This window comes from Homo sapiens, chromosome 18 (genome assembly GCF_000001405.40).
Source record: "Homo sapiens chromosome 18, GRCh38.p14 Primary Assembly".
NCBI classification, from domain to species: domain Eukaryota; kingdom Metazoa; phylum Chordata; class Mammalia; order Primates; family Hominidae; genus Homo; species Homo sapiens.
In genome coordinates, this window is record NC_000018.10 from 44,959,302 (window position 1) to 44,987,021 (window position 27,720).

Genomic DNA, 27,720 nt, shown 5'->3' on the forward strand with positions numbered 1-27,720 from the left:
TTTGGAAGGAAACTCCAGAAAACCATCTCCTTACTCTATAAAAAGAACAAGTGATGAATACTTTTAAAATTGTGGCCTAGGCTTGAGCCAGTATAGCACTTAATCCAAGTTGTCTGAATTCAAGGGAAAATGATAAGGACAAGACAACATTTTTTAATGATTTATTTAATGCCTAGTATGTATAAGGCTTGTTGCAATCCCAGAAAGAAATCAAAGATGAGTAACTCAATGTTTTTGCCTTCAAAGAGACTACAATCCAGGAGGACCTCTATAATTTAGGGGAAGAAACCAGCAAGCAGCTCCTCATGTTACAAAGCCAACTGCAAGAGCCATCAGAAAGCCACAGAGAAAGAGCAAGGGCTGTCCAAGTGACTTGTGAGCCACTGCTGTGTTCTCAGTGGGGGAGGAGAGGTGGGACCTGGAAATACTCTTCATAGCAGTCACCATGTAAGATGGGTCTTGAATGATACAAGACACTTTGGGAGAGTGGAGATGGTAAGGGTGGTCATGAGAGATGGGGTAGGAAGCATGACCTAGAACAGGAGCCATGCAAACAAAGGTATGTAAGTGGAAACACCCAAGAAATATTTGGGAAAGCATGCATAGTGCAGTTTTTTTGTTTCTGTTTTTGAGACAGTCTTACTCCATCACCCAGGCTAGACTGCAGTGGTACGATCTCACCTCACTGCCACCTTCACCTCCTGGGTTCATTCTCTTGTCTCAGCCTCCCAAGTAACTAGGACTAGGTGCAAGCCCAGCTAATTTTTGTATTTTTAGTAGAGACAGGGTCTCACCATGTTGGCCGGGCTTGTCTTGAACTCCTGACCTCAAGTGATCCTCCCGCCTCGGCCACCTAAAATGCTGGCATTACAGGCATGAGCCACCGTGACCAGCCCATAGTGCCGTTTTATTGGGGTTTGGATCTGTAGTTGGGGAACATTGGCAGATAAAGTGAGGAAAGAATATTGTGGTCAGGGGCTAGAGGGTCTTTTTCCCGTACTCCGAGGCTTGTGCTTAATCAAGCGAGCAGTGGCAAGCCACTTTTTATTTTATTGTGTTCCATTTTATTTTTAGAGACAGAATATCTGTCACCCAGGATCCTAGCTCACTAAAACCTCCAACTTCTGGGCTCAAGCAATCCTCCCACCTCAGGCCCCCAAGTAGCTAGGACTACAGGTGTATGCCACCATACCCTGTTAATTTTTGTTTTAATTTTTAATTTTGTAGAGACAGGGTCTCGCTCTGTTCCCCAGACTGGTCTTGAACTCTTGGGCTCAAGTGATCCTCCCTCCTCCACCTCCCAAAGCGCTGGAATTATAGCTGTGAGCCAGTGTGCCTGGCCAGAAGCTACTTTTTAAACAAGTGAAAGCCATAAAATGACCAGATTATACTTTATCTTTCTTCCCTGACCACTCCCTTTCCCTAACCTCAATTGGGCAAACTTACCTCATCTCTGTACTCTTCATGCTGTGTTGTAATTATTCACTTACTTGTTTAGGTTGTACCCACCTGCCCTTCCTCCTCCACCCTCCACCCCCGGATTATAACTAATCATAAAGGCATCATTAGTTACACAAATGCTCAAGCAAAAAATATATTTAAAAAGAGCCATCCTTGATTTCATCTCTTTCCCTCTCTAGCTAAAGTCAAAGGTGATTCCAATGTATTGCCTCCAGGCACTGAGAGGGTGGGAGTACATGAACAGAATCCTAGAAATCAGAGCGGAAACCCAGCTGGTGTCCAGAATGATGAGGGGCTTAGGCAGCAGTTGCCAGTGCTGTGCAGAGCTAGACCTAGAGATTCAGCAAGGAGAGAGTCAGAGGGAATGAAGGAAGGAGGGTGGAAGAGATGACCTGGCAACCCACCTTAAACACAGAGGCAGAGGAAGCAGGGACCAGGAAGGATGCAGAGAAGGAATGCCAGAAATGCTGGAGAATGAATTTAAGAAGAAAGAAGTGATCAGCAGAGCCAGAAGATGCAGAGTTTATGGAGGATGAAAACAAATGAAAATATGCATGAACATATTGGTGACCCTGAAGACAACAGAAATGTTAAACATTATGTATTTGATGTCTCATATGTTTGGAGCCTCGTGGACTGTGTGCCTAGGCTGAATGGCAAGGAGTTAATGAATAAGTGGATGATGAGAGAATGGGGGCTGCAGGTGCAGAAAATGAAAACATTGCTGTGGTTCTAGCAGTGCCCCAGCTTCTAAGAAGACTACGTTTGTGAAGTCAGCCCTTGATGAGAAGTGATACTTCCATTCTCAATAGGCCTTAAGTCTAAGTTTCTCCAATTCTAGGAGCAGAAACACAATGCCAGATTCCCTTATACTATGTCATTCCACATGTCATAGTATAAGGCCAAAAAGGCCATGTGTAGAAAAGGTAAAGGTTATAGTATTTGAAAAGAGGTAAGAGATTTCAGGTCAGCTCCCCCTTCCCTGCCTCACAGACACACAGGCACATAGCTTTTGATCATATGATGACTATTTGAAAATTCCTTTCTGTGGTACCTTGGGTGTTTGCTGTGCATCTGTGAATGTATGGAAGAATGAACAAGTTATCACAAGTTCGAATAAATGGTTCTGTTACTGAGCCATGTACAAAGGATTATAGATGAAAGCCTAACTGTCAGTCTTACAGAGCTTTTTACTATTGTGGAATAAAATATACATGCTGGTACATAAAAACTTGCACTCTTAAAAATGATTGAGAGGTCTTTGGTCACCCAGCATATAGCATAGTGCCAGGGACAATTAGGGAGACCAGAAGGAAAGAAAAATCAAGAAAGAGACTAAGTTAGCATTCGTAAAACAACCAGAGAATAAATGCAGACCAAGTTTAATCCATGCTAACTCATTGGCCAACAATGGGAGCTGCGGGGACCCAGGATCAGGAAGGATAACAGTGTTCAGTGAAAGACAAAGTCTTGCGGCAGAAGCTTGGAGAGTAGGTTCACAGTGAGTGCTCCAGCAGCATGAGTGAAGATATTTGAGGGGTACAGGAAGGCACTTGGCTAGATGGAAGTTAGCAGTTGAGTGGGGATGGATTTTTAAGAGGCACAGCTACCGTGAAGAGGGGATTGAACTGCCTCCCAGAGGAAGGGAAGATACAATTGATGCTCAGGGGTGCTGAGTGTGAGATGTTTTGAGCTTGGTGCTAGGTGCTGAGTGGAATGATGAAGTACCAAGAAACATGCCTGTCCTCAATGACCTTATACAGCCATCAGGAGACAAGAGATGGATATAGACATGTACACAAAGCAATCAGCGAGAATAATGGGAGTTATGCACTTAATGACTAGAAATCAAAACCCATTCTACAAAAAAAGAAACCCCAAAACTAACTATCAGTGAAATAAGCTGCATGTTGTAAATGCAAGTTGATACTGGTATCTGTCCTGTTACAGAGAGATTCAGAACAAGCTGGATAAGAAGAAGGAGGCATTAAGTGAGGTCAACAGAGTAGAGCAGGCAAGTCCCAAGAGCTGCCTCTGCTGTGGTTTCCATGATCTTCAGTGCGGGGGCTGGGGAGAAAGTTGGGCAGTGAGTCAATAAGAAGATGGGGCTCACCTTGTTGATGGAGGATCTGAGGACCCAGAGATAAAAAGCTTTCCCTGAGGCTACATCACAGTCATCCCATACATCTGAACAGGGTGTTATGCTTTTCAAAGCGTACTTCCTTACTTTCATTTGATCTTCAAAATCCAGTGGGGTCTGCAGATAGGTGTTGCTTTTCCACTCGACAGCCAAGGAAATCAAAACCCAACGTGACCAAGCCATTTTTTGTTCAGAAAAAGTGCTAGATCCCAAGTATCCTGGAATTTTCCTAGCATCCTCCCAACCCCCACTGCCATTTTTCCCACTATATTTCTTAAGTATTTGATCAGGCCAGTAGCATGACTTACCTTCCAAGTTATCCCTAAAGAACTCTTGCCAGTGGGTTAAATAGAGGAGCCCAGAATAAGGCACTAACTAATAGGCAATTTAGTCTTTGCTAAAAATAGGATATTTTACATACAAAGGGAGCTCTTTGGAACTGGGGTTAGCCAAGCCCAGGGTCTAATGTCAATTCTGTGCGCAAAGCCTTTAGCTCACCTGGGGAAAGAGAACTTGAATGGAGCGTGAATGTCCTGAAAATCACAAGGAAGACACAAGTGGTGCACAAGAATATTCTTATTTGCTAAATTACAAAACACTAAAACTAACATTTAAATCTTTGTTTTTTTTAATTACAATTTAAGGGGCTTTACCCACCTACTGGTAAACATTCAAAAACTTGCATTTTAAAAATGCTACGTGCTGACTGGGCACAGTGGCTCACACCTGTAATCCCAGCACTTTGGGAGACCAAAGCAGGCGAATTGCCTGGGCCCAGGAGTTCAAAACCAGCCTGGGCAACTTAGGGAGACCCCGTCTCTATAAAAATATACAAAAATTAGCCTGGTGTGGTGGTGCACACCTGTAGTCCCAGCTACTTGGGAGGCTGAGGTGGGACGACTGCTTGAGCCCAGGAGTTCAAGGCTGCAGGAAACCACGATTGTGCCACTACATGACACTGAACTCCAGCCTGGGTAACAGAGCAAGACCCCATCTCAAAAAAAAAAAAAAAAAAAAAAAGGGTTATATATACTAAAAGTAAAACCGGAATGGAGCAGCAAGTCATTAAGAGATCCATGAAAAAAAAACAAAAGAGAGATCCATGAGTTTGGGCTACACTTCAGAAGTTTGGGAAGTTGTTAGAGTGGATACCTCATCTCAGTTTGAATGTCCACAAGGAACTGGGATGTAGGCTGGAGAAACTGTGGTTCAAAGCCTATCTGAAGCCTATCTGTCACGTCTTATATTGCAAGTAAGACCAATAGGCAAAAAAGGTTTCTCTTATATGCTTCTTTGTGCTGTTATATTTTTACTTTATTCTAATCACAGTTTTAAAATTATTGAGTGCCTAATATTTGTAAAACATAGTCCTGGGCAAAGTGGCTCACACCTGTAATCCCAGCACTTTGGGAGACCAAACTGGCCCCAGGAGTTCAAAACCAGCCTGGGCAACAGGAGTTTGAAACCAGCCTGGGCAGCTCTAAATATGTAAGGGACACCTTGTCATCCTTTAGTACATGTGTCATAGTCCTACAAGTCTGTGTCAGTATATCCACCACTAAATAATTCACCTTTTTAGTGCTAAATACTGTTTTTCTATTTGAGGTCCCAATGGCAAGGACAATAAAAATGGATTCCCCATCTATAAACCTATAACATGGAATTATTTGAAAACGTTTTTATTATCTTAAAAAAAAAAAAACCCTGTTAATAAAGAAAATTTGAAAAATTCAGAAAAAAACTAAAGTCACCTACAATCCCACTGCCCAGAAATAGCCACCATGATAATGTAAATGCACAGGTCCCCAGCTGATGGTAAGCACTCACCTGGCTTCCTGTTCCAATCTGCCGTTTCTCCAGCCTAACTTAGGAAAACCAACTCATGCTCCCCCCAGGCCACACCCTGTCCTTTGCCTCCTCTTTTCTCCACTACCACTATGGTTGCCAGGTCTTTTCAGTTTTCTCTTAAGTGTTTTCCCAGATTTGCTCGTGATAACCTTTCCTTCTGCATGTTGTGTCATTATCCAAACGGGGATACATTTTAAAAATAAATGCAGGAGGAATTGGGCGTGAAAATCATACAGATTTCTAGATTGTGCTATTTAACTAAAATCTCCACCAGATTTCAAGTCTCAGGACATTAACTGAGAAGGAGACAAATTAGGGCTGAAGACAATTGCCAAATATCTTTCTTGAATATCACTGAATGTTGAATGTTTCTTCTCAGATCAGAATTGGACAAGGGGGAAGGCAATAAATTTTTCAAAGTTTGAAATTCCAACTTCACCTCAGCAATGTAAAATGTAATCAGCCAGTTTCTTTTACAATTACCACTCTCACTTCGCACACATACAACAGACAGAGACAGACACATGCACACAAACACACACACACACACACACACACACACAGATCACTCAGAACAAATCAAGTTATGGATACTCTCATTGGTCAGTGTTGCCATCACTCATACCAAGAGCATTTAGAGAGAAGGCACTTGCTATTAATTTTAGGCTTATCACCAGAGAATTCCTTATGCTTGCTTATTATATAAATATCCTAGTATATCTATGGAAATTCCTAAGATAAAATCATAAAGCCAATAGTTTCCATTTCAAAAAGCATCTCCCCTGTTTGTTTTTTCTTCCATTGCTCCTCAACCAGTAAGTCCACATCTATATATCCTCCAAGTTAAACTTTTGCACAAAGGATCAGGCAAAGGAGAAAACAAAATTTTCCAGGAGATTTCTTAAATCTCCATGGACAATGCAAGCATCACAGAGAGTTTGCTCACATCGCTGAAATAGCTTTTTTCTTTCAGTCTTCCTCCATTATTTTTGAATTTCAACTGTGATAGAGGTAAGTGTACTGCAGTATCTGTCTTATAGAGGAGAATTCTGTTTCTGAATGTCTTCCCTGGTGATGAGATCTCTAACAGTGGCTCCCTGGAGTCCCCAGCTTGGAATGTCAGCTCCACCTACAGTGTCCCTGGGACCCCAGAAACACTTCATTCACATGAGCTTACCTTCCGCCATGCCAGGGTTGCAACTTCTTGGTCCAGAGCAGTGACTCTGTGCTTCATTTTTCATTTCAGTGATCCTTTGGGCAATAATCAAACAAAGCTCGATTGCATCTGTCTCTCCTTACAGCTCTAACTAAATAAATACATTAATTATTGGAACAGAAAAAGAAGAATGTAATATTTTTTCATGGAACGCCTATGAAGGCAGCCATAAGTAAATGAATAATTGATGTCAGATGCAGAAATAGCAATTCCTATTGCATTAAGTCTAAAACTATCTGGCTTAAAAGACCCTCCATTATCCACTCTTGCTGGTCTCACCTTGTTTCCTGATCATCTTCAAGTATTTCCTCACTATGAGTCCTGCTAAATCTCCTCCTTATCCTATAGAAAATGTCATAGTGAGCCCCTTACCTGAGTGTGCAATCACCACACGGCTTCTTCATGTAAAACTTCCTCTCCTTTTCCATCTGGCTTGCAAATCTCACCTACTAATTTTCTTACCCATTCTGGCATCCCCTGCTTCTCTGATGTAACTAATATTTTCACTTTCATTTCAGTGCTTATTTTTATATGGCCTTATATTGTTTACCTTTATATTAGGTAGGGATGTCTTATTCACCCAAATCAAATTTGAGTTGTAGGAGAATCGCAGTCATGTCATACCCTTTTCATAGCTTATACGATCCTTAGGATGGTGCTGAGCACAGATATTACTGACCAACTGACTGTTGATCCTTGCAGACCACCATCATTTCCTGACTTATGCTTTAAGAAGCACTAACTTAAGAATAAATTGAACAATTTCTAACGCAGCTTAGTAGAGCAAAGAAAGCCCAGGAGTTAAAGACTCAGATCTAGATTTGGATGCTAAATATCCCACTTGCTCGTAGTGCAACCTTGGGCAACTTAGGCTCTTAGATGTCCCTTTCCTAGCCCGAAAAATGAAGCTGTTAATACCCACCACACAGAGTTTTATGAGAGCCAAAGAAGGGTAAAATATACACAGGAGCATCCAGCACACCACTTACCATATAGTTGTCAATAATGTTCATTTCCTTTCACTTCCACTTTAGATAATATATTCAAACAGAAAATACAAAACAACAGATTGGTATAGAAGTCTTCTTTAAACAGCAGGCTTTCCTGCCCAATTACACTCTTACTGGGATGAAGTTAAATCCAACTCTGAATCACACAGGGAAAGGCAGAAATTAGCTGGACCACAGTTGTAGTTCATGATGAAGATAAGGTGTCAGGATTATACCGTTATGGTGGATAAGTAACAAAATACACATTTCACCCAAAGATAACGGAAAGCTCACTGAGTAGGCATTATCCGTAGAACTTGGGAATTCTCTGGAAAGGGCAGTCATCACCATCCCTTGGCATCGGGACTGTCACGGCAAGAATGTGTATGACTATTCAGTAGCACTTGTTTTGTAGACCAATGTATCTGCTAACCCCAGCCATAAAAATGCAGTGATAAGAAAAATAATGAAATGTGGATTGGTACTCTATCATTGTTGTAACAAACCACAGATTTAGCAGTTTAAAACAATGCAAACGTGTTATTTCACCACTTCTTATGTCAGAAGTCAAGTGGGCACAGGTGAGTACTCTGTTTAAGGTCTTACGGAGCTGAAATCAGGTGTGGTCAGGGTTGTGTTCCTCACTAGGGGCCCTGGAGAAGGATCCACCTCAGAGGTCAATCTAATTGTTGATCCACTCAGTTCCCTGTGGTTTTAGGTCTGAGGCCTTTTGCTGGCCTTTGCTTCTAGGGGCTGCCCACATTACTTCTAATTTTTTCCATGTGGCCCGTCCAGCAACAGAGTCAAATCACTATGAGTCTTAGACATTCCTCCCCCACCACACCACAGCCCCTGGGAACTTCTTGCTCTTCTCTGAATGCAAGTACCACATTCTCCCACACCTTCTGGCTTTGCACATGCCATTTCTCTCTCTCAGAACACCTTGCAGAGAGGAAGATCCTAGCATTTTGCCTCATGACTAAGTACCTGTGTTCTTTGTATATTTCTCCTTGTGATCTGGTAGATGGAGGTCTACCTTGTGGATAAGTTTGAAAATGCAGTGGAAAAAAAACATTAATTCTAGAACTGCAAATTGCTCAGCAGGATGGTAAAGAAGGACAGTTCATTTTTAGACTAGCATATGGAATGCTCCATGAAGGAGATGGTACCATACCTGGTCCTAAAGAATTGGTTGGATTTAGGTACACTGGGAATAAAGAGGAACCATTGAGGGAAAATATGAATATATATGTATAGTGTTCTTTGAGAAAATATTGCACTTATTCATTCATCATACACACACACACACAATTCCTGGGAATACAAGAATGAACAAGAAAGATAAAAGATAGGGCTCCTGTACTCATGGATTTTATAGTCTATTAGTAGATGTACAAGAAGAAGAAAAAGCAAATATAATAATTAAATGGTTCAATGTGATAAGTTTTGGGAAAGGGAAGCTGGATAGTGGGCATGATCTGCTGTACTTCAGTGGTAAATTCATCTATGTGGACGACCTGGGGGGAAGCCAGCTAAGTAAAGCATGGCCTTATCAGACAGCCTGGACTGCCAAGTAGTAGGCCTTGAGAGGGCGCTGCCAGCAAGAGGAGACCACTAGGAGCAAAGGAATGGCATAGTGATCACTGTGTCTTATGCTGATTAGTATGGCCATACTGTTACTTACCTTGATGGTTTAAGTAGTTCCAGACCATCTTTCAATTTTGTTGTATGTCTCAATGGCTTCATAAATTCTTTCTTCCCAAGTAGGCAACAGTGAGTTTTTCTCAAATCCCTGCCTGAATGATTGAGTTGCAATGACTTGCTCCTTGAGAGTGCACTAGCAAGACACACCAGCAACCAAAACCTGTTTGTCATCCAGGAATAGCCTGCATGCTAGGAGGAGGTGGTTTGGAACATGTGTAAAATCAAAACATTTCTCACTGTTAATTTCTTTTCACAGTTCAGAATCTCTGTTCTATTCCATGTGAAAAGTAAAATAACTCCTTTGCTCGGATTTCTTGCTGACATTTCTTTTTGGTGGGAGTCAGGGGTGGGAGTTCACTCTGAATGCTTACTATACCTCCTGCTACAGCTCTGTGGCATTTTCATAAAATACCAACCACCAAAATTCTAGTAATCACAAAAACATGTGCTTTCTCCTCATATCCACTGAAATTCTTTCTCTCATTAAAAAATAGAAGTCTCAGAAATGTAATTAGAAAGCTAAACTCGATATCTTTACATTCCTTTGGTTTCAAGGCGGGGGAAGAAAGCTGCAGTTTTTCTAATTTCCCTTCAGTTCAATGCTACTCTTGAATGGGGAAAATGATACAAAACGTCTGAAGAATTGAGAGTCTGACAAGAGGGGAGGATTTGTATTTCCTTGTTATTAAAAAAGAAGAAAAAGCCCTCAGTTATGTCTAATCTTTAGGAACGCAGTGCCCTGTCCAACCCACGAACTGTTGGCAGCATCATAACTCTACACAGAATGTTCTTTTAAGCTTTTCCCTCCTTCCCAAGCCTTTCCTGTGAAGTTATAAATCTCAGCATTTAGAGATATTCTTATGCAAATAAAGGAGGGACTTTAGGTTGGGACCTTTCATGTTGATTCTGCTGAGGGCATGCTAGAGAAACAGCCCCAAGAAAAGCAGGCGCACTTCCATGGCTAGGTTCTAGGTTTGACTTTATTTGTGAAACCCCATCTGTCCCTCCTACACCAAGTACCAACTCCAGGAAGCTGTGATTTAATAGCTCTGTGCCTAGAGGAAGTTTTACCCAACCCCTCACAACATCCTCCTGATTGTTTGGAAAGTGAAATGATTCTGAAGATCAAACTCTACCGCTTCTTGCACTGCCTCCTCTTCTGTGTATAGCTGACCTCCTCATTCCACCTACACAACACTCCCCTTAAACTTTGTTGCAGCAGGCAGAGCAGTGTGGCCTTAGGTGTAGGTGCACCTGGAAAAACCCCAAATAATGTCCACTTGAGGTCACATAGGCAAGCAGATGTCCTGAACCTATTGCTGCCCTTGAGTCAAAGAATCCTAATTCTCCTTATCTGGTTATTTTGGCTGCTCCGTGATAGTGACATATTTTTCAAAATACATTCATGTGCATTTTCTCCTTTGACCATCATAGCCCCATGAGCTGAGCACTCATATAACGTCCTCAGGGAGCATTCCCAGTGGCTTTGCTCAGGGACTCAAGCCAAAAAGGTGATGATGGGCTCTGACTTAGTACAGTGAGTTATCACCGAAAGGAAATGGGAAAAGAAAGAGACTGACCAAAGAGATCCAGCCAGGCAGCCTTGTGCAAGTGATTTAAACAACCTCTGCCTGTGTTTGCAAATCCAAAATAGAGATAATAGTAGTTAGTAACTCACGGGGTGTGTCTGCTTATAAAGTTGTAGCATATGTACCTATATGTAGCAGAATGCCTGACTCATAGAAAATATACCATAAATGTTAGTGGTTATTAATGATTATTATTAATGTATTGAACACCTATAGTATACCAACCTTTATTTCATATTTTGTTTACAACGATTCTAGTTGGTTTTCAATAGAATACATCACTGTTGGTATAATTACAAATGCACAGGCCTTTTTTTTTTGGAACAGAGTGTTGCTCTTGTTCCCCAGGCTGCAGTGAAATGGGGCGATCTCGGCTTACTGCAACCTCCACTTCCTGGGTTCAAACGATTCTCCTGCCTCAGCCTTCCAAGTAGCTGGGATTACAGGCACGTGCCACCACACCCAGCTAATTTTGTATTTTTAGTAGAGACAGGGTTTCACCATGTTGGTCAGGCTGGTCTCGAACTCCTGAACTCAAGTGATCCACCTGCCTCGGCCTCCCAAAGTGCTGGGATTACAGGCCTGAGCGACCGCACCCGGCTGGGCTTGTTTTCTTTTCTTTTTTTTTTTAATTATACTTTAAGTATTAGGGTACATGTGCACAACGTGCAGGTTTGTTACATATGTATACATGTGCCATGTTGGTGTGCTGCAACCCATTAACTCTTCATTTAACATTAGGTATATCTCCTAATGCTATGCCTCCCCCCTCTCCCCTTCCCCCACCCCACAACAGGCCCCAGTGTGTGATGTTCCCCTTCCAGTGTCCATGTATTCTCATTGTTCAATTCCCACCTATGAGTGAGAACATGCGGTGTTTGGTTTTTTGTCCTTGTGATAGTTTGCTCAGAATGATGGTTTCCAGCTTCATCCATGTCCCTACAAAGGACACGAACTCATCATTTTTTATGGCTGCATAGTATTCCATGGTGTATATGTGCCACATTTTCTTAATCCAGTCTATCATTGTTGGACATTTGGGTTGGTTCCAAGTCTTTGCTATTGTGACTAGTGCCACAGTAAACATATGTGTGCATGTGTCTTTATAGCAGCATGTTTTATAATCCTTTGGGTATATACCCAGAAATGGGATGGCTGGGTCAAATGGTATTTCTAGTTCTAGATCCCTGAGGAATCGCCACACCGACTTCCACAATGGTTGAACTAGTTTACACTCCCACCAACAGTGTAAAAGTGTTCCTATTTCTCCACATCCTCTCCAGCAACTGTTGTTTCCTGACTTTTTAATGATCGCCATTCTAACTGGTGTGAGATGGTATCTCACTGTGGTTTTGATTTGCATTTCTCTGATGACCAGTGATGACGAGCATTTTTTCACATGTCTTTTGGCTGCATAAATATCTTCTTTTGAGAAGTGTCTGTTCATATCCTTTGCCCACTTTTTGATGGGGTTGTTTGTTTTTTCCTTGTAAATTTGTTTGAGTTCATTGTAGATTCTGGCTATTAGCCCTTTGTCAGATGAGTAGATTGCAAAAATTTTCTCCCATTCTGTAGGTTGCCTGTTCACTCTGATGGTAGTTTCTTTTGCTGTGCAGAAGCTCTTTAGTTTAATTAGATCCCATTTGTCAATTTTGGCTTTTGTTGCCATTGCTTTTGGTGTTTTAGACATGAAGTCCTTGCCCGTGCCTATGTCCTGAATGGTATTGCCTAGGTTTTCTTCTAGGGTTTTTATGGTTTTAGGTCTAACATTTAAGTCTTTATGCATCTTGAATTAATTTTTGTATAAGGTGTAAGGAAGGGATCCAGTTTCAGCTTTCTACATATGGCTAGCCAGTTTTCCCAGCACCATTTATTAAATAGGGAATCCTTTCCCCATTTCTTATTTTTGTCAGGTTTGTCAAAGATCAGATAGTTGTAGATATGTGGCATTATTTCTGAGGGCTCTGTCCTGTTCCATTGGTCTATATCTCTGTTTTGGTACCAGTCCCATGCTGTTTTGGTTACTGTAGCCTTGCAGTATAGTTTGAAGTCAGGTAGTGTGATGCCTCCAGCTTTGTTCTTTTGGCTTAGGATTGACTTGGCGATGCGGGCTCTTTTTTGGTTGCATATGAACTTTAAAGTAGTTTTTTCCAATTCTGTCAAGAAAGTCATTGGTAGCTTGAGGAGGATGGCATTGAATCTAGAAATTACCTCGGGCAGTATGGCCATTTTCAAGATATTGATTCTTCCTACCCATGAGCATGGAATGTTCTTCTATTTGTTTGTATCCTCTTTTATTTCATTGAGCAGTGGTTTGTAGTTCTCCCTGAAGAGATCCTTCACATCCCTTGTAAGTTGGATTCCTAGGTATTTTATTCTCCTTGAAGCAATTGTGAATGGGAGTTCACTCATGATTTGGCTCTCTGTTTGTCTGTTATTGGTGTTTAAGAATGCTTGTGATTTTTTCACATCGATTTTGTATCCAGAGACTTTGCTGAAGTTGCCTATCAGCTTAAGGAGATTTTGGGCTGAGATGATGGGGTTTTCTACATATACAAACATGTCATCTGCAGACAGGGACAATTTGACTTCCTCTTTTCCTAGTTGAATACCCTTTATTTCCTTTTCCTGACTGATTGCCCTGGCCAGAACTTCCAACACTGTGTTGAATAGGAGTGGTGAGAGAGGGCATCCCTGTCTTGTGCCAGTTTTCAAAGGGAATGCTTCCAGTTTTTGCCTATTGAGTATGATATTGGCTGTGGGTTTGTCATAGATAGCTGTCATTATTTTGAGATCCGTCCCATCAATACCTAATTTATTGAGAGTTTTTAGCATAAAGGGTAGTTGAATTTTGTCAAAGGCCTTTTCTGCATCTATTGAGATAATCATCTGGTTTTTGTCGTTGGTTCTCTTTATATGCTGGATTATGTTTATTGATTTGCATATGTTGAACCAGCCTTGCATCCCAAGGATGAAGCCCACTTGATCATGGTGGATAAGCTTTTTGATGTGCTGCTGGATTCGGTTTGCCAATATTTTATTGAGGATTTTTGTATCAATGTTCATCAGGGATATTCATCTAAAATTCTCTTTTTTTTGTTGTGCTTCTGCCAGGCTTTGGTATCAGGATAATGCTAGCCTCAAACAAATGTGTATTAAGCAGCTACTTATTTTGTGTCAAGGAATCTAATATATGGAGACCCAAAGGATGCAGTTGCTGCCCTCTGGAGGCTGCCATTCCAAGTGAGAGAGATGCTCTTAGAAACAGAGAAGGGCACTGTGATGTCTTTGATGCTGAGACAGTGTGGGGCCATTGGGGGCAAATGGATAGAGTCATCAATGCTTCCTGGACGGCTAGAAAAGGCAGCATTTCATTAAGTTTTGAGGGCCCGATGGCTAGACATAGAAAAAGAGCTGATAAAGGCAGAGCAGCAGTGAGAAGAAAGACAGGAACCCTGAGGCAAACAGCTCTGAAAGAGGCAAGAAAATGCTGGTAGGGCTGCCTCATGGGGCATGATGTGCAGGGATAGCCGCGGTAAGTGGAGAGGCAGACAGAGGAGGGGCAGACACGCCACACAGAGGAGTTGGTACTGTTAAGACTGCATTTTCGGATACCACACAAAGGTTTTAAGCTGGCAGAGGGGGGAGTAGGGGTTAATATTCTCTGAGTCGTGCCTTAGGACAGGGCTTGTCAGACTGTAGTCCAGAACCATTTTGTTATTGTTCTTCTTCTTCCATTCCCTAATTCATTGCTGGTCAATACCTATGTAAAATTTAATTAAAAGGAAAATTTTTAAAAATGAAGTAAAAATAAAGTGCAGTGGCTTACAAAATACAATTCAAATTTGCTTATGATTAGATTGTATGAATATAAAATTATTTGATCACATTGTTATGAAAGTTTCCAAATGTTTCCACTCAATTTCCATAATTATCATAGGCCAATAACAGCCTGTGTATGGGCCCTGGTCATGGGCCACATTTAAGTGGCATTGCTTTAGAACCATGGCTCTACCAGAAGAATAAAGAATATATCTCAGAGGGAAGAGGGAAGCAGGAAGACCACCTGGGAAGCAACTACAATAATCCAGGCGAGAGATTCCGAAGCTCAAAACCAAGGTAGCTAAGTAAGTTTGGCAAGGAGGGGAGGGAGATGAGAGTAGCTGAGGATAGAGACTGCAGGACTGCAGAAAGGCAAAGAGGAGGGAGTTGGAGGGAGGAGTCTAGGATTATTCACCCTCACCTGCTATGGTGTTTTCACTGCATAAAAGGATTTGAGGTTCTAAACTAAAAGCCAGAGAGGCTCCCTGCTTCAGATCCAGTAGACCTCCCCAAATGACTGATGTGGACTCATGTGCACAGGTGGGTGACTAGATTTACCAAAGCCTGGTAACACAAAACCCAAACAAACCGCAAATATATATTTGTATATATTTAAAAGAGGAGAAAGGCAGTACATCTTTTTAAAACAAAATAAGAACATCCCAAACTCTCATGATATTAAGAGCAAGACGAGTCAAAAGCAGACCAGTTTTACCTAGAAAACACAGTCACTGTATGAATTTCACTTTCCATTTATGTATAAAATATGCTACATTGAGAAAAGGGAAAGCAACAAAACAAAGACACCTAAGTAAAAATAGGATACATTTTTACTAAATTGGCCTGTGAGTGATTCTTTTTAAACACTAGGTTATTGTTCTTTTGCCCTTTGTGAACATGTAGACCTCACAAAGGCACTTTTTGAAATCTGATTTGACCAACACCTCTTTATTAACTTCTATACACGTGGCCCTCTTATCAATGCCACACAAGGTGTGTAAAGATCAGTAAGGGGTACAAAGATATGATTAGAAATTTTCGGATCCAAGAAGAGAGGCCCTCTTCCGTTTTAATGTTCGCACTTCTCTGGCCTTAAGAGTCTTTCTGCACTGAGAAAGAAATTTATGATTAAGAACCTGTGAATAGGGTATAATAAACCCTGTCTGCATCTGCAGTTCTACTAGACGCAGGGCACTGTTAACAGTCTTACTTGTGGGGAACATTCATTGACCATTGACCATTCACTACTTACATAGAGATGGAATTTAGGCTTCAATTCTACAGTCTTGTCAATTAATTGCCCTACACTAAAAGAAATTCACTTTTAATGCCAGTTATAGTTTTTCTCACGTTAGCAATTCCATCATTTAATAAGTGTAGTAAGCATTGAATTACTGAGGTTCGATACTCAGTGAACTCAATGTAAGTGAACTCAGTGAACAAAGTGAAGATACTGTACCTGGGACAGCTTGATATCCTAAAACTAATTCAGCATTATCCAGCACCCCAAGAAGCATTGTTAGGTGTTCTGTGAAAAAAAAGAGTTTGATTATCAGAATATTAAATACTCGAATAAGCAAAAATATATGATTACTACATAACTTCGCATAGCTTTCAACATAATGAGGAGTGATATGGATCTATCTATAAAGGAAAAGTCATCTTTTCCCAATTTATCTGACTGCACAACTCTTGTTTCTCCAAATCCACCCATTAAGCTATCAAAGAATACTAACATTCTGCAGAAGATGGTTTGGGAAATACTAAGCTAATTTAATCCCCTAAAATTAAAAATGCCAAAATCAAAGCTCAGAGGGTTAAGTGTCCTTGCTGACATGAAGCAGTAGTGGCCAAGCCTGGACCAGAATACAGGTCTGCAAGCCTGGGGCTCTTTCTACTTTCTGTCTACCTTAAGGAATTATTTCTCAAAATACCTACTGCCACCTTCAGCAGACTGTGCATGTATATTCAGTGTTTAGTAAGTCGAGCTTTTGGGGAGGGATACACACACACACACACACACACACACACACACACACACACACAGACTCATACTCCTATGCACATAGACACCAGAGCTTCTCAACAGTATTAAGTCCCCTTTTGCACAAGGCCCAGGAAATGTGCTGGAGCAGGAAGCAGGCGGCAGGTGCTGAGGAACAGCAGAGGAGAGCCGCCGTGGGTTTTGGAGGCTCCTTGTTTACAGTCCGTATTAACCCTGGGCTGTTGCAAAGGCCAAAGCTTGGCTCGCATTTGAGATATGAAGCTCTGACATTCAAGAAGCTCCAAAGCAAATGAACCTGAGTGAGTAAATAAATAAACCACAAAGAAAAAGCCAGTATTAAAAAAGATTTGCATGGTCTGGTGTAAACTCAGGAAAGGCAGGCTGCTGGGAAGTAAACTGGCCCTCATCCGCCCTGCTGTGCCTAGTCTGGGCACCAGAACTCAGAAGCACATGACTGAGCCATCCCGTGTTTGGGGCCTTAGAATGGTGACCCAGGTACATGTCCTCAGGGCAAAGATACTGCTCAGGGCAAGGAGGGAAATAAATGATCATGGTTATAGTTAGTAGCTATTAGAGTCACAGGCTTCCAAATTCCCAGACTTGGATCCCAGCTCTGTCACTCACTAGCTGGATGATATGGGTGAGTTATTTACTTCTCTGTGCCCCAGCCCTTTTGTCTGTAATATGTGATTAATTATACAGAGAGGCATAGATGTGTTCTGAGAATTAAAGGAGTGACTTCATAGAAGATGCTGAGAACATAGCCTGGCATATAGGAAGTGCTCAAAAAGTATTCATGTATTTATATTTTATTATTGTTGGTAAGTCATAGAGTCATAATTTAAGAACTATACGCTTCAGTTTCTGTATCTCTAAAATGGGGGAAAATTGTGTCTATTCTGGGACTTCTTGTCAGGATTGAAAGAGTTGATATATGTAAAGAACATATTGAGTTTCTAACCTGTAATAAATCATCAATATATGGCAACTCTTACTACCTCTGAGGATTCCTCCATCTCCAGCCCTGAAATGGTCCTTAACCTTCACTGTGGGGCCAACCCCCATGGCATTGAAAAGGTTTCCTTCTGTACTCACCAGATGTGTTCTTTCTGATCCCAGATAGAGCTCATGGAAATGTCTTTTGGGCATGCTGTGGTCTACTCTGGATAGATATCAAAAAAGAAATGCGGAAGGTATGTGTGGACAACTGATATATTCTAGGGAAAGGGGGAAAAAAGGAGCAAAGAAGGGAGAGAGGGCAGATAAGCCTGATCTAACTTTGGTTATAAACCCTGGCCAATGTACAATCAAGAAGGAGCACCCGCCAGAAAAGCTGGATGTGGCTGGCAAATGTCCCAAATCATTCTGTAGAATGAGGGACCACGAGTGGGGAAATGCTTTTTGATGGATGAATTGGATTGTGAATAAAATGCTGCCTTCCAGGCACTAGACTTGGAATTACCCTGATATGTTGGTTTAATTCAGAACTCAGTGTTGCCTGAACATTGACTTTCTAACCTTAATTGTCTTCTGATTTATTAGTAGATCGCTGTGCTTCTTATGTTTCCTTGGTAGAAGTTACAATCTTGTTTCCCAGAATAATCCCATAGCCTGGGACAGATTTTAGGGATGACAGGCTCAATTCACAGAGGCCAATGTGGCCGATAAACATGGGTGTTTCTGCAGTTGCTGCCCAGAGTCTGACCCACCTGAGAGGAGAGAACACCTTTCACTTTGCCCTCCAGCCTTTTCATCTCCCCCTTATATCTATTCAGGAGTGACTGATCTTTGCTTGCTACTGATATAAGGAGAGCTGGTGAATTAGTAAAATCTTTCCCAACTTCCCCAACAGTTTTCATCTATCAGAAAGTTCAGCGGCATGGTGCATTTTTCAGCTCTGGGGCCTGTGCTCTTTCTATTCTTGAATCTGAGATAACTACACAGCATCATAAAACTTCCCATATTCCGAAAACAGATCCATCCTCCCACCTCAGCCAGCCAGGGTTGCAACCAGCCCACAGGCCAACATTAGGTTGGGAAGAGCAAGGAAAAAACATAGCTCCATTATTCCTCAGCTTGCAAAGGAGACTGACAGTCACAATTGATGACATAAAACACTAGGACAGGCCCATATTTTAAGAGCGTCAATACAGAGTTCACCATCACAGGCCCCGATTTCTAAGATGCCCCTCACCACATTTATTTCCTGCCATTTTCTTTTTTTTATTCCGACTGCAGAGTGATCAAGGAGAGAAACTGGAAGCTGGGCCCAGGGATAAGTTGTCTGCCCGTGCAGGGGGAAACCATAACATTTTACATGATATCTTGTAGTGATATTAATCACAAAGCCCAAATAAACTGAAGCCCAAATGAGTGAGCAATAGGAATCTAATCCTGATAGTATTATACTACCTGGTATTAACTTATACTCACCTGCTTTATCTGCCATGATTCTTATGATATCTGCCTCTGCCCAAGGTGGACTGGGTTAAATGTGATTAGCTCCATTTAACAGATTTAACAGATGAGAAGACAATATTTCAAATGAGGGCTCTTACTGAATGTCAAAATGGAAGCTTGCATTACTGTCATTCTTAACAAAGTCAGCAACACCAACCATAGTGAGTCTTTTATAGATGGACATAGAGATGTATGTTTCCCAAGCCCTGTTCTGTTTCCTGCACTGCAGACATGGGGTGGCTGCCCATGATGGCCTGCAGTGAGTTGGAGCTATTGGCTCAGTTTTAAAAGCTACAGGACGTGATGCCATTTTACATTGAAAAAAAATATTTAATGATCCCGGATGTCTTAAAGATTGTGCAGACACAATTATCCCAATTTTAAGATGAGGATATTGAGCCTCAAGAATTGAATAAATTGTCTAAAATCATGTGTCTCACAAGGGGCTGACCCAGAATTCGAACTCAAATCTGGCTGACTTCAGAGTTGGTGCTTTTTCTCCTCTACCAAGCTGCTGATTTAAACAACTCACTTATTTTACAGAGGTTGAGTAGGAGACCTCTGAGAGCCCAGGGAGGCTTTTCCTCTCCTGTCTGGTGACTGCTACCACAACACCATGAGAGGACTTCTACGGGCTTTTTGGCCATTAGGGGCCCAACCCACCGAATCTGCATTTGCTTCCCTTTGCAATCTGAGAGGTCAACTCCAGTATGTTTAAAAGTTTTGTGCTTTAAAACTGTATTCCTGGAAGCAGTCTGTTTTAACTTTGCCCCTAAGCCTTTCATATTTGCCTGGCCCTTTGTTCTAGGATAATTTCAAAGGAGCTGCCTTACTGTAATGAAATTCAGTGTACTACTGGCTGTATCCATATAACATTTCGTTCAGTTCGATGCTCAATCCACAATCTTGAAATAAAATAGTAGTCAATGAAATTTTCTGTATAGTATTATCCTCCATAAGTTCAAAGATAATTTAGTAAAGCTTGGCTCATGAAAGTGATCACAAAGCTGTATGATTCTACTGGGATACAGGGGTAATGTATTTGTGTGTTGAATGAATCTGAAATTTTGAGTCATTGATTGAGCTGGTCATTTTGATTTAAGAATTTGAGAAGAAAGTATTCCAGAACTAAGTGCTAACCAATGGTCCACACTGATATAAAAATCACAAATAACTCTTACATATGGAGGCTCTCAGAGAAACGAAATATGGTCAAGGCTCAAGAAAACTCACTCTATGCAATTGAATATTCCTTATTTTTTCTTAACACCATCTATTGCACATATTGGCTCACAGAGCAGAAACATGTGACTGTCTTGGTTCTTCATTCATGTTCCTCATTTAATACATTTACAAAAAGCAGTTCCTTCTTAATAACTAAGTTCATGTGTTTGAAAACCCATGTGGATGTAAATTTGGAGGTATGGAAATTTTGGAGTCAACTCAGCAAATGTTGATCCAGTGTCACTGTGTGCCCAGACTGTCTGAATGTCGTGGTTAGAGCAGTGACCACGAGAAGTGATGCTTTGTTCTCTATTCTTGTTTCTGTGGAACCGGACAATAAGCAAAGCCAGGAGCCTATAATATGATCTCAGATATTGATAAGTACTGAGTATAGAATGAAGCAGATTGAGAAGATGTAGAGTGATTGGGTGAGCTGGGAATATTTTGATAGTGGTGTCAGGACATGTATTTTATAAATTGATTGCTGAAATAAGACTAGAAATAGCTAGTTTGCACAGTAAACTGTTTTTAGGGCTCAGCATTATTTGATTACAACTTGCGTCTTGTCACAAACCATGGTTTAGTAGGGTTGGAAATGAGGAAATTTTACTACAATATGTATTATAAGAGCCAATTTCATAGATCGTAGAATCTCAAAGTTAGAGGAAAGCTTAGAGGTCATCCAGCCCCAAGTAGTTTCTCTGATTCGCACATTCTTCTGCTTTAAAAAAAAAAAAAATCTAGTCTCTAGAAACTCATTACTTTATAATACAACCAAGTTCAGTTCTGAATAGCCCCGACCTCCCGTGCCTCTCCCGTCTCTTACAAACGGAAACTTTGTCAGAGGAGGGAGAGGCAGGGAGGTTGAGGAGCCTTGAAAGGCTTTTTCCTTTTTCTCAAGCACTGGGGCTGCTCACCTTCACTGAAGGCACAGAAGGTGCAGGCCTCCAGCAGGAAGACAAGAGCCCATCCCTGCTGCCAGTTTCAGAAACAGTTTCCACAGCTCTAGGTTAAGGTTATGGTCATGTGTAGCAGGGTAAGAGGTTGCAAAGCATGGTCCTAGGGAAGCAGTAGGAGCCCAGGTTTGAAAGCAAGAAATATGGGTCTTCTAGACCTAGCTCTCATGGACAGGCTGTTGGTTTTGGCCTTCGCAGATCAGTACTTCTGCCTGGGCCTCAGTTTATGCATCTGTAAAAAGAAAGAATTGCATTAAATCAGTGGTTCCCAAAGTTAAAGTGGTCCCCAGACCAATAGCATCTGCCTCATTTGAGAACTTGTTTGAAATGCAAATTCTCAGGCCTTATCTCAGACCTATTAAATGAGAACCTCTGAAGCAGGAGAACAATAATCTATTAAAAACCGATGCACCCTTAAGTTTGAGAAACATAATTCTGCGTGATCTTCAAGGCCCTCAATTCCAGCCGTAACATCCTGTGAATCCCTGAGGCAGAGGCCCAAAACTGCAGCCAGCTCACTTGCCCCGACTCTCACCGTAATCTCTCAGGTTCCAGCAGTTTCTTTCTGTCTCTCCTTGGATCCCTGAGCCAAGCTACAGAGCCAGTTGGCTTCAGGAGGTGACTCTAACTCCCAGAACATGTACCTCCCTTAAAAAATCTATATCCAGTCTTACACGGAATCAATGCTTACAGTCACCTTGTATCTAAGCAAACTGAATAAAGCTGGAAGCACCAGCAAACCTGCTTATTTATTTCATGACAAGGGAAACAACTTTCAGTTCTGTGGGACTTGACACCTTTGTCAATAAAATCTGCAGATTGCACAATATAGAGTTGTTTTAGAATTCATCTTTCTGACAATAACAGGACTTTGCAAGAGAAGAGCATCCAGGGGTTATTATGGCAGCCACATCTTTGCCCTGAGACTACTGGCTGCCTTGCCCACATTTACCTTTTACATCAGAACCACTCAGTGAATCTACATCGGCATAGAGAAGAATAAGGGAAGAATTTTAAAGCATGTGCCCCCTTTTGGTTGCTTCTTTTTCCCCCGCTTTTTCGTATGTCTAAAGAAGGCAACCAGATTTGATTTTTTTTAAGAAGCCCTTAGTTTTAATAGCTGATTAGCCTACAATAAGGTCGAACTTGTGTTTTGTTTCTAATTAGCAGTAAAAACAACAGGGTATTAACGTTTGCAGTTGCTTCACTGTAGCATCTTTCCAAGATTTTCTATTCACGCTGTTCAAAAGTGCCATATACATTGGAAATGTGCATTTATATTCAGAGCAAGCTTATTGTAGGAAGCATAAAAAAACACCCCATAAAGCGAAAGTTTGGGGAAGGTGGGGTGGAGTTGAAGGTAGTAAAAGCCTCTCAATTGCTTGATTGTGTGAACTGAAGTTGCTGTAGAGTAAGTCACCATTTGTGGTTTCACAGCTCTGGAATAAATGACACTTCCAATAACATTATCCTATACAGGTGTAAAATATACAAATTGGGTGAGGAAAATGGTAGCATCATTGAAATGCGCACAAGCAAAAAGCCTGGGAAGCAAGCATATGGCAGAGTGCCGGGCTGGGGAGGCAGGGGCCGCCGGCTGGAAGATCCACACACCTTGGCTTCCTGGAGCAGTCGCCTCAGGGGGCCAGAGCCAGAGCTCCATGCTTCCACATCTAATTTGGATGATTCTGTGATTATTATATCATTTAGGGTATTCCCTGCCTAAACTCTTTTTAAATTTATGGCTCTGGTTCGACTTGCATTTTTTTCCCTCCTCTTCTGAGTTTGTCATGAGTTGTTGAAAAGCATATTCAATCAAGCAAGAGCATAGCTTTTTGAGTTTATCCATACAAGTAAAATAACAGATTTAGTGAGTGATAAGCGAAGTAGTCATCAACATAGATAAATATAGAGACTGAAAGCTCTATCATTTATGTATTTCTTCTGCAGCAGAATATATGATGCTTCCTCTTATTTTATTTCTGTTCCCAGTGGGTCATATAATTTCTGCTGGTTTATGAAGGCTAATCTTAAAACCCTTTTTGACTTCTACATTTAAAGGCTTGGAAGTGAGTATGACATCATGGGGGACACTCCAAGCTTTAGTGAGGAGTCATGGGTTTCAGTACTAGTTTGCTCTGCTAAACCCAGTCCCTGGCCTGAGGGCAGCCGTGTTTCTATGCTGATTTTATAGATGGTGACACCAAGGCCTAGAACAATTAAGGGACTTTACAAGGTCATGGGATGCTTAACTTCAGCCCTGACTATAACTGCAATTATGGTATGTGGGCCCCCTGAGAAGTCACCGAAAACCCCTGTCTAATATTTCCTGTGGACCCTCAACCTCCAGACCACCAGGCCTTGTAGGTAACTTATTCAGTGGAAGCCAGGCCAATTGAGTAAATCATGATTATGAACATTGAAAAATGAGAGGAGAGAGAACATGAACAGAAGCATTTTAGTTTATAGAATCATAGAGTTGGAGGCATTTCTTCAAGCAGACAGATTTTGTGCGTATCAAAACGTGATTGGGGAAAAACAGGTACACGTAGCCTCCTTCAGATGCATTTTCTGTTATGGTCAAGTTCATTCCAATAATAATTAATTTGAGGGCTTGTGAAATGTTAGGTGCTATTCTAAGTGTTTCGTATGCATAACTTTATTTTTCCACCAACCAGCTCTAAGAACTAGGGACACTCTTACCCCCATTATACAAATCAGGGACATGAGGCATGGAGTGAAGAAGTAGATTTCCAAGGTCATAGAGCCCACATGGAGTAGAGCCAAGATTTGCCCCAAGCCCAATTCCAGAGCCCATACTCCTAACCACTGTCCCATTGCCCTTCTTGTAGGAGCAGATTTTCAAGTCTCATTTTCAGTCCCTCCTGCTGCAGCAGCAGGCCTTATTTTTCTTGCTGAGTAACACCAGAAATGGTAATCAGCTCATGCCAGCTGAGTGCTTTCTTCTAGGCTTGGCAACAGCCATGAGCCCATCACCTGGTTAAATAACCCCCTGCTTGCCACTCCATTCCTTTGGTCTGTGATGGTATGGAACTTTGGGAAGAACCCAGAGACTAAATATCTGTTTGCTGTCTGTCATTGAACAAGTGACTCACCTTTTCTCAACTTCAATTTTGCATTTGTCAAAAGATTGTTGTTCCTGACCTGGCCATCTTAGAAAAGGTACAGAATCAAAATACCATATAGGCCAGGTGCAGTGGCTCATGCCTGTAATCCCAGCACTTTGGGAGGCTGAGGCAGGTGGATCACAGGTCAGGAGTTCGAGACCACCCCGGCTAACATGGTGAAACCCCGTCTCTACTAAAAATACAAAAATTAGCCGGGCGTGGTTGCATGAGCCTGTAATCCCAGCTAGTCAGGAGGCTGAGGCAGGAGAATTGCTTGCACCTGGGAGGCAGAGGTTGCAGTGAGCTGAGGTTGCACTCTAGCCTGGGAGACAGAGCAAGACTCCGTCTTGGGAAAAACAAAAACAAAAACCATGTATCAGTGGTCCTCAACTTTTTTAGTGCTAGGGACTGGTTTTGTGGAAGACAATTTCTTCACAGACAGGCAGGGCAGGGGAGTGGGGTGCGGAGAAGGGAGGATAATTTCAGGAAGAAACTGTTCCACCTCAGATCATCAGACATTAGATTCTGATTAGGAATATGCAAGCTAGATCCCTCACATGGGCAGTTCACAATAGGGTTCAGGCTCCTATGAGAATCTAATGCTGCTGTTGATCTGACAGGAGGCGGAGCTCAGGCGGTAATGCTCACTCCTCCTGCACCTGCCGCTTAACTCTTGCTGTCCAGCCCAGGTCCTAACAGCATACCAGTCCATGGCCTTGGGTTTGGGGACCCCTGCCATATATGCTATAACTACAGAATGATGTACAATGATGAAGTGATGTTGGCATTATTATTATATGTCATCAGGATGTGGTGTGGATTAAATGAGGTCACACCTCTAAAGCATTTTTCTGTCATGTTGCCTGACATGTAAGAGGCACTATGAGTTGGTTGGTTATCATGTTACTAATTATTATCATTGCTAATGTACCTTGCAGTGATTTAAAGTTTACATGCTTAATTTGCAGAGAAGGCACGAATTTTAAGTTTACATAATTCAAAGTTTACATGCTTAGGCCGGACGCAGTGGTTCACATCTGTAATCTCAGCACTTTGGGAGGCCAAGGCGGGCAGATCACCTGAGGTCAGGAGTTCGAGACCAGCCCGGCCAACATGGTGAAACCCTATCTCCACTAAAAATACAAAAACTAGCCAGTCGTGGTGGCGTGCGCCTATAATCCCAGCTACTCGGGAGGCTGAAGCAGGAGAATCACTTGAACCCAGGAGGCGGAGGTTGCAGTGAGCGGAGATCATGCCATTGCACTCCAGACTGGGCGACAGAGACTGTCGCCTTTTGAACATAAAATGTTTAAACACTGAATGAGGTGTAAGAGATCTGTCTACATGTGCTTTCAGGTTACAAATGTGGGTAGGGGTTCTGAGATGCTAAAATTGACAAGAAAGTCTTAAAAAAAAAAGTTTACTTGCTTAATTTGCCAGAAATGGGCAGTGCCTCAGAGCTAAGCAGTAGGTACTATTGTTTCCATTTTCAGATAACTTGTAACTTGTTCAGAGTCTAGTTTTGTTCAGATTTTATTTCTCTGGAGCTATGCTATTCCTCTGTCTCTGTCTTAAGTGGCCCAGACAACTGTACATGTGATAATATAATAGTAATAATAATTCTGGCTTGGGCTTAATACACTTATTAATGTTGAAGTATTTTAAGCTGTGGAATCAACCAAGGAGCACAGTCTTATTTATTTCATATGAATCTCACGCAAGGGCACAGTTACTTGAGTAATGATTCTTTTTCTTCTTTTAAATGTTCTTAACTTAAATCTACAGTACAACTGTTTAGTTTTTACAGTGTCTAGGTACCAGTCTATCAATTTGTCAGTAATCACTCTGTAATCCACCATTTAGTATCTGCAGGATTACTTGTAATCTGCTTTTAGGGCTATGAATTCTCCATTGTTCATTTTCACTGTTCAACCTTTAGCCAGCTACATTGCCAAAAGTACCATGATTTCCTCACAGATTTACAATGAAGGGCACAGAGATCCTGCAGGGGAAGCTAATGTAAGACTTTTTGATTTAGAAACAATATTTGGAGCCAAGAACCAGAGTACTCAATACTCCACTAGAGTCTTGTTCCCAGAGGGAAAGAGCAACCAATTTATAGATTTTTAGTTTTAAAGTGAGTTAGAAAAATATACATTATGGCAGAGAGTAGCTAAGGAACAACTACAAAATGATGTTGCTTCTTCTGGTGTGCGTAACCAGACCTCTCCATCCCAGTGCGAACATCATGGTGTACTTAGTCAAACCTCGATAGGATAGCCTGCTACACACCTAAGCTATATGGTGTAGCCTTTTGCTCCTAGGATACAAACCTGCCCAGCATGTTAGAGTACTGAATACTGTAGATAACTGTAACACAATGGTAAGCATTTGAGTATCTAAACATAGAAAAGGTACAGCAAAAATACGGTGTCAAGGATAAATAATGGTATGCCTCTCTAGCGCACTTATTGTGAACGGAGATTATAGGACTGGAAGTTGCTCTGAGTGAGTCAGTGAGTGAGTGGTGAGTGATTGTGAAGGCCTAGGACATTACCATATACTATTATAGATTTTATAAATGCTCTACACTAAATGTATAAAAAAATTTCTTTCTTCATTAATAAATGAAATGTGGCTTACTGTGACTTTTTACTTTATAAGGTTAAGTTGTTTTTAACTTTTTCACTTTTGTAATACTTATATTAAAACACATTCTACAGTTGTGCAAAATATTTCTTATATTCTTATTCTATAAGCCTTTTCTTATTTTGATTTTTTTTTTTTTTACTTTTAAACTTTTTGGTTAAAAACTGAGGCACAAACAGATACATTCACCTAGGCCTACATAGCATCAAGATCATAAATATCACCAACTTCCACCTCCATAGCTTGTCCCACTGGAAGGTCTTCAGGGGCAATAACACGTATGGTACTGTCATCTCCTATAATAACAATGCCTTGCTTATTCTGGAATGCCTCCTAAAGGACCTGCCTGAGGCTGTTAACTTTTTTTTATAAGTAGAAGGAGTGTACTCTAAAATAACAATAGTTAGTATAGTATAGTATAGTATAGTATAGTATAGTATAGTATAGTATTGTATTGTATTGTATTGTAACTAAAACCAGTAACATAGTCGTTTATTATCATTATTAAGTATTATGTACCGTACCTAGT

The 27,720-nt window shown here is 41.3% G+C and overlaps 1 protein-coding gene and 1 non-coding gene across 19 annotated transcripts in view; one reads left to right on the plus strand and one right to left on the minus strand.

Moving 5' to 3' along the window:
- The window catches only part of SETBP1 (SET binding protein 1), a 388,438-nt gene that overhangs the window by 279,229 nt on the left and 81,489 nt on the right, over positions 1-27,720 (plus strand). Inside the window, exon 6 of one of the 18 annotated variants that reach the window (XM_024451158.2) lies at positions 247-27,275. The exons of the other annotated variants lie outside the window; for them this stretch is intronic. Coding sequence (XP_024306926.1) covers positions 247-437 — 191 coding nt within the window. The 3' untranslated portion in view covers positions 438-27,275. Of the gene's footprint in view, positions 1-246; positions 27,276-27,720 lie in introns of those variants that run through there. 18 annotated transcript variants of the gene reach the window in all.
- MIR4319 (microRNA 4319) lies at positions 10,781-10,865 on the minus strand. The gene has a single exon (NR_036203.1). It is a non-coding gene; the product is annotated as a microRNA 4319 (primary transcript).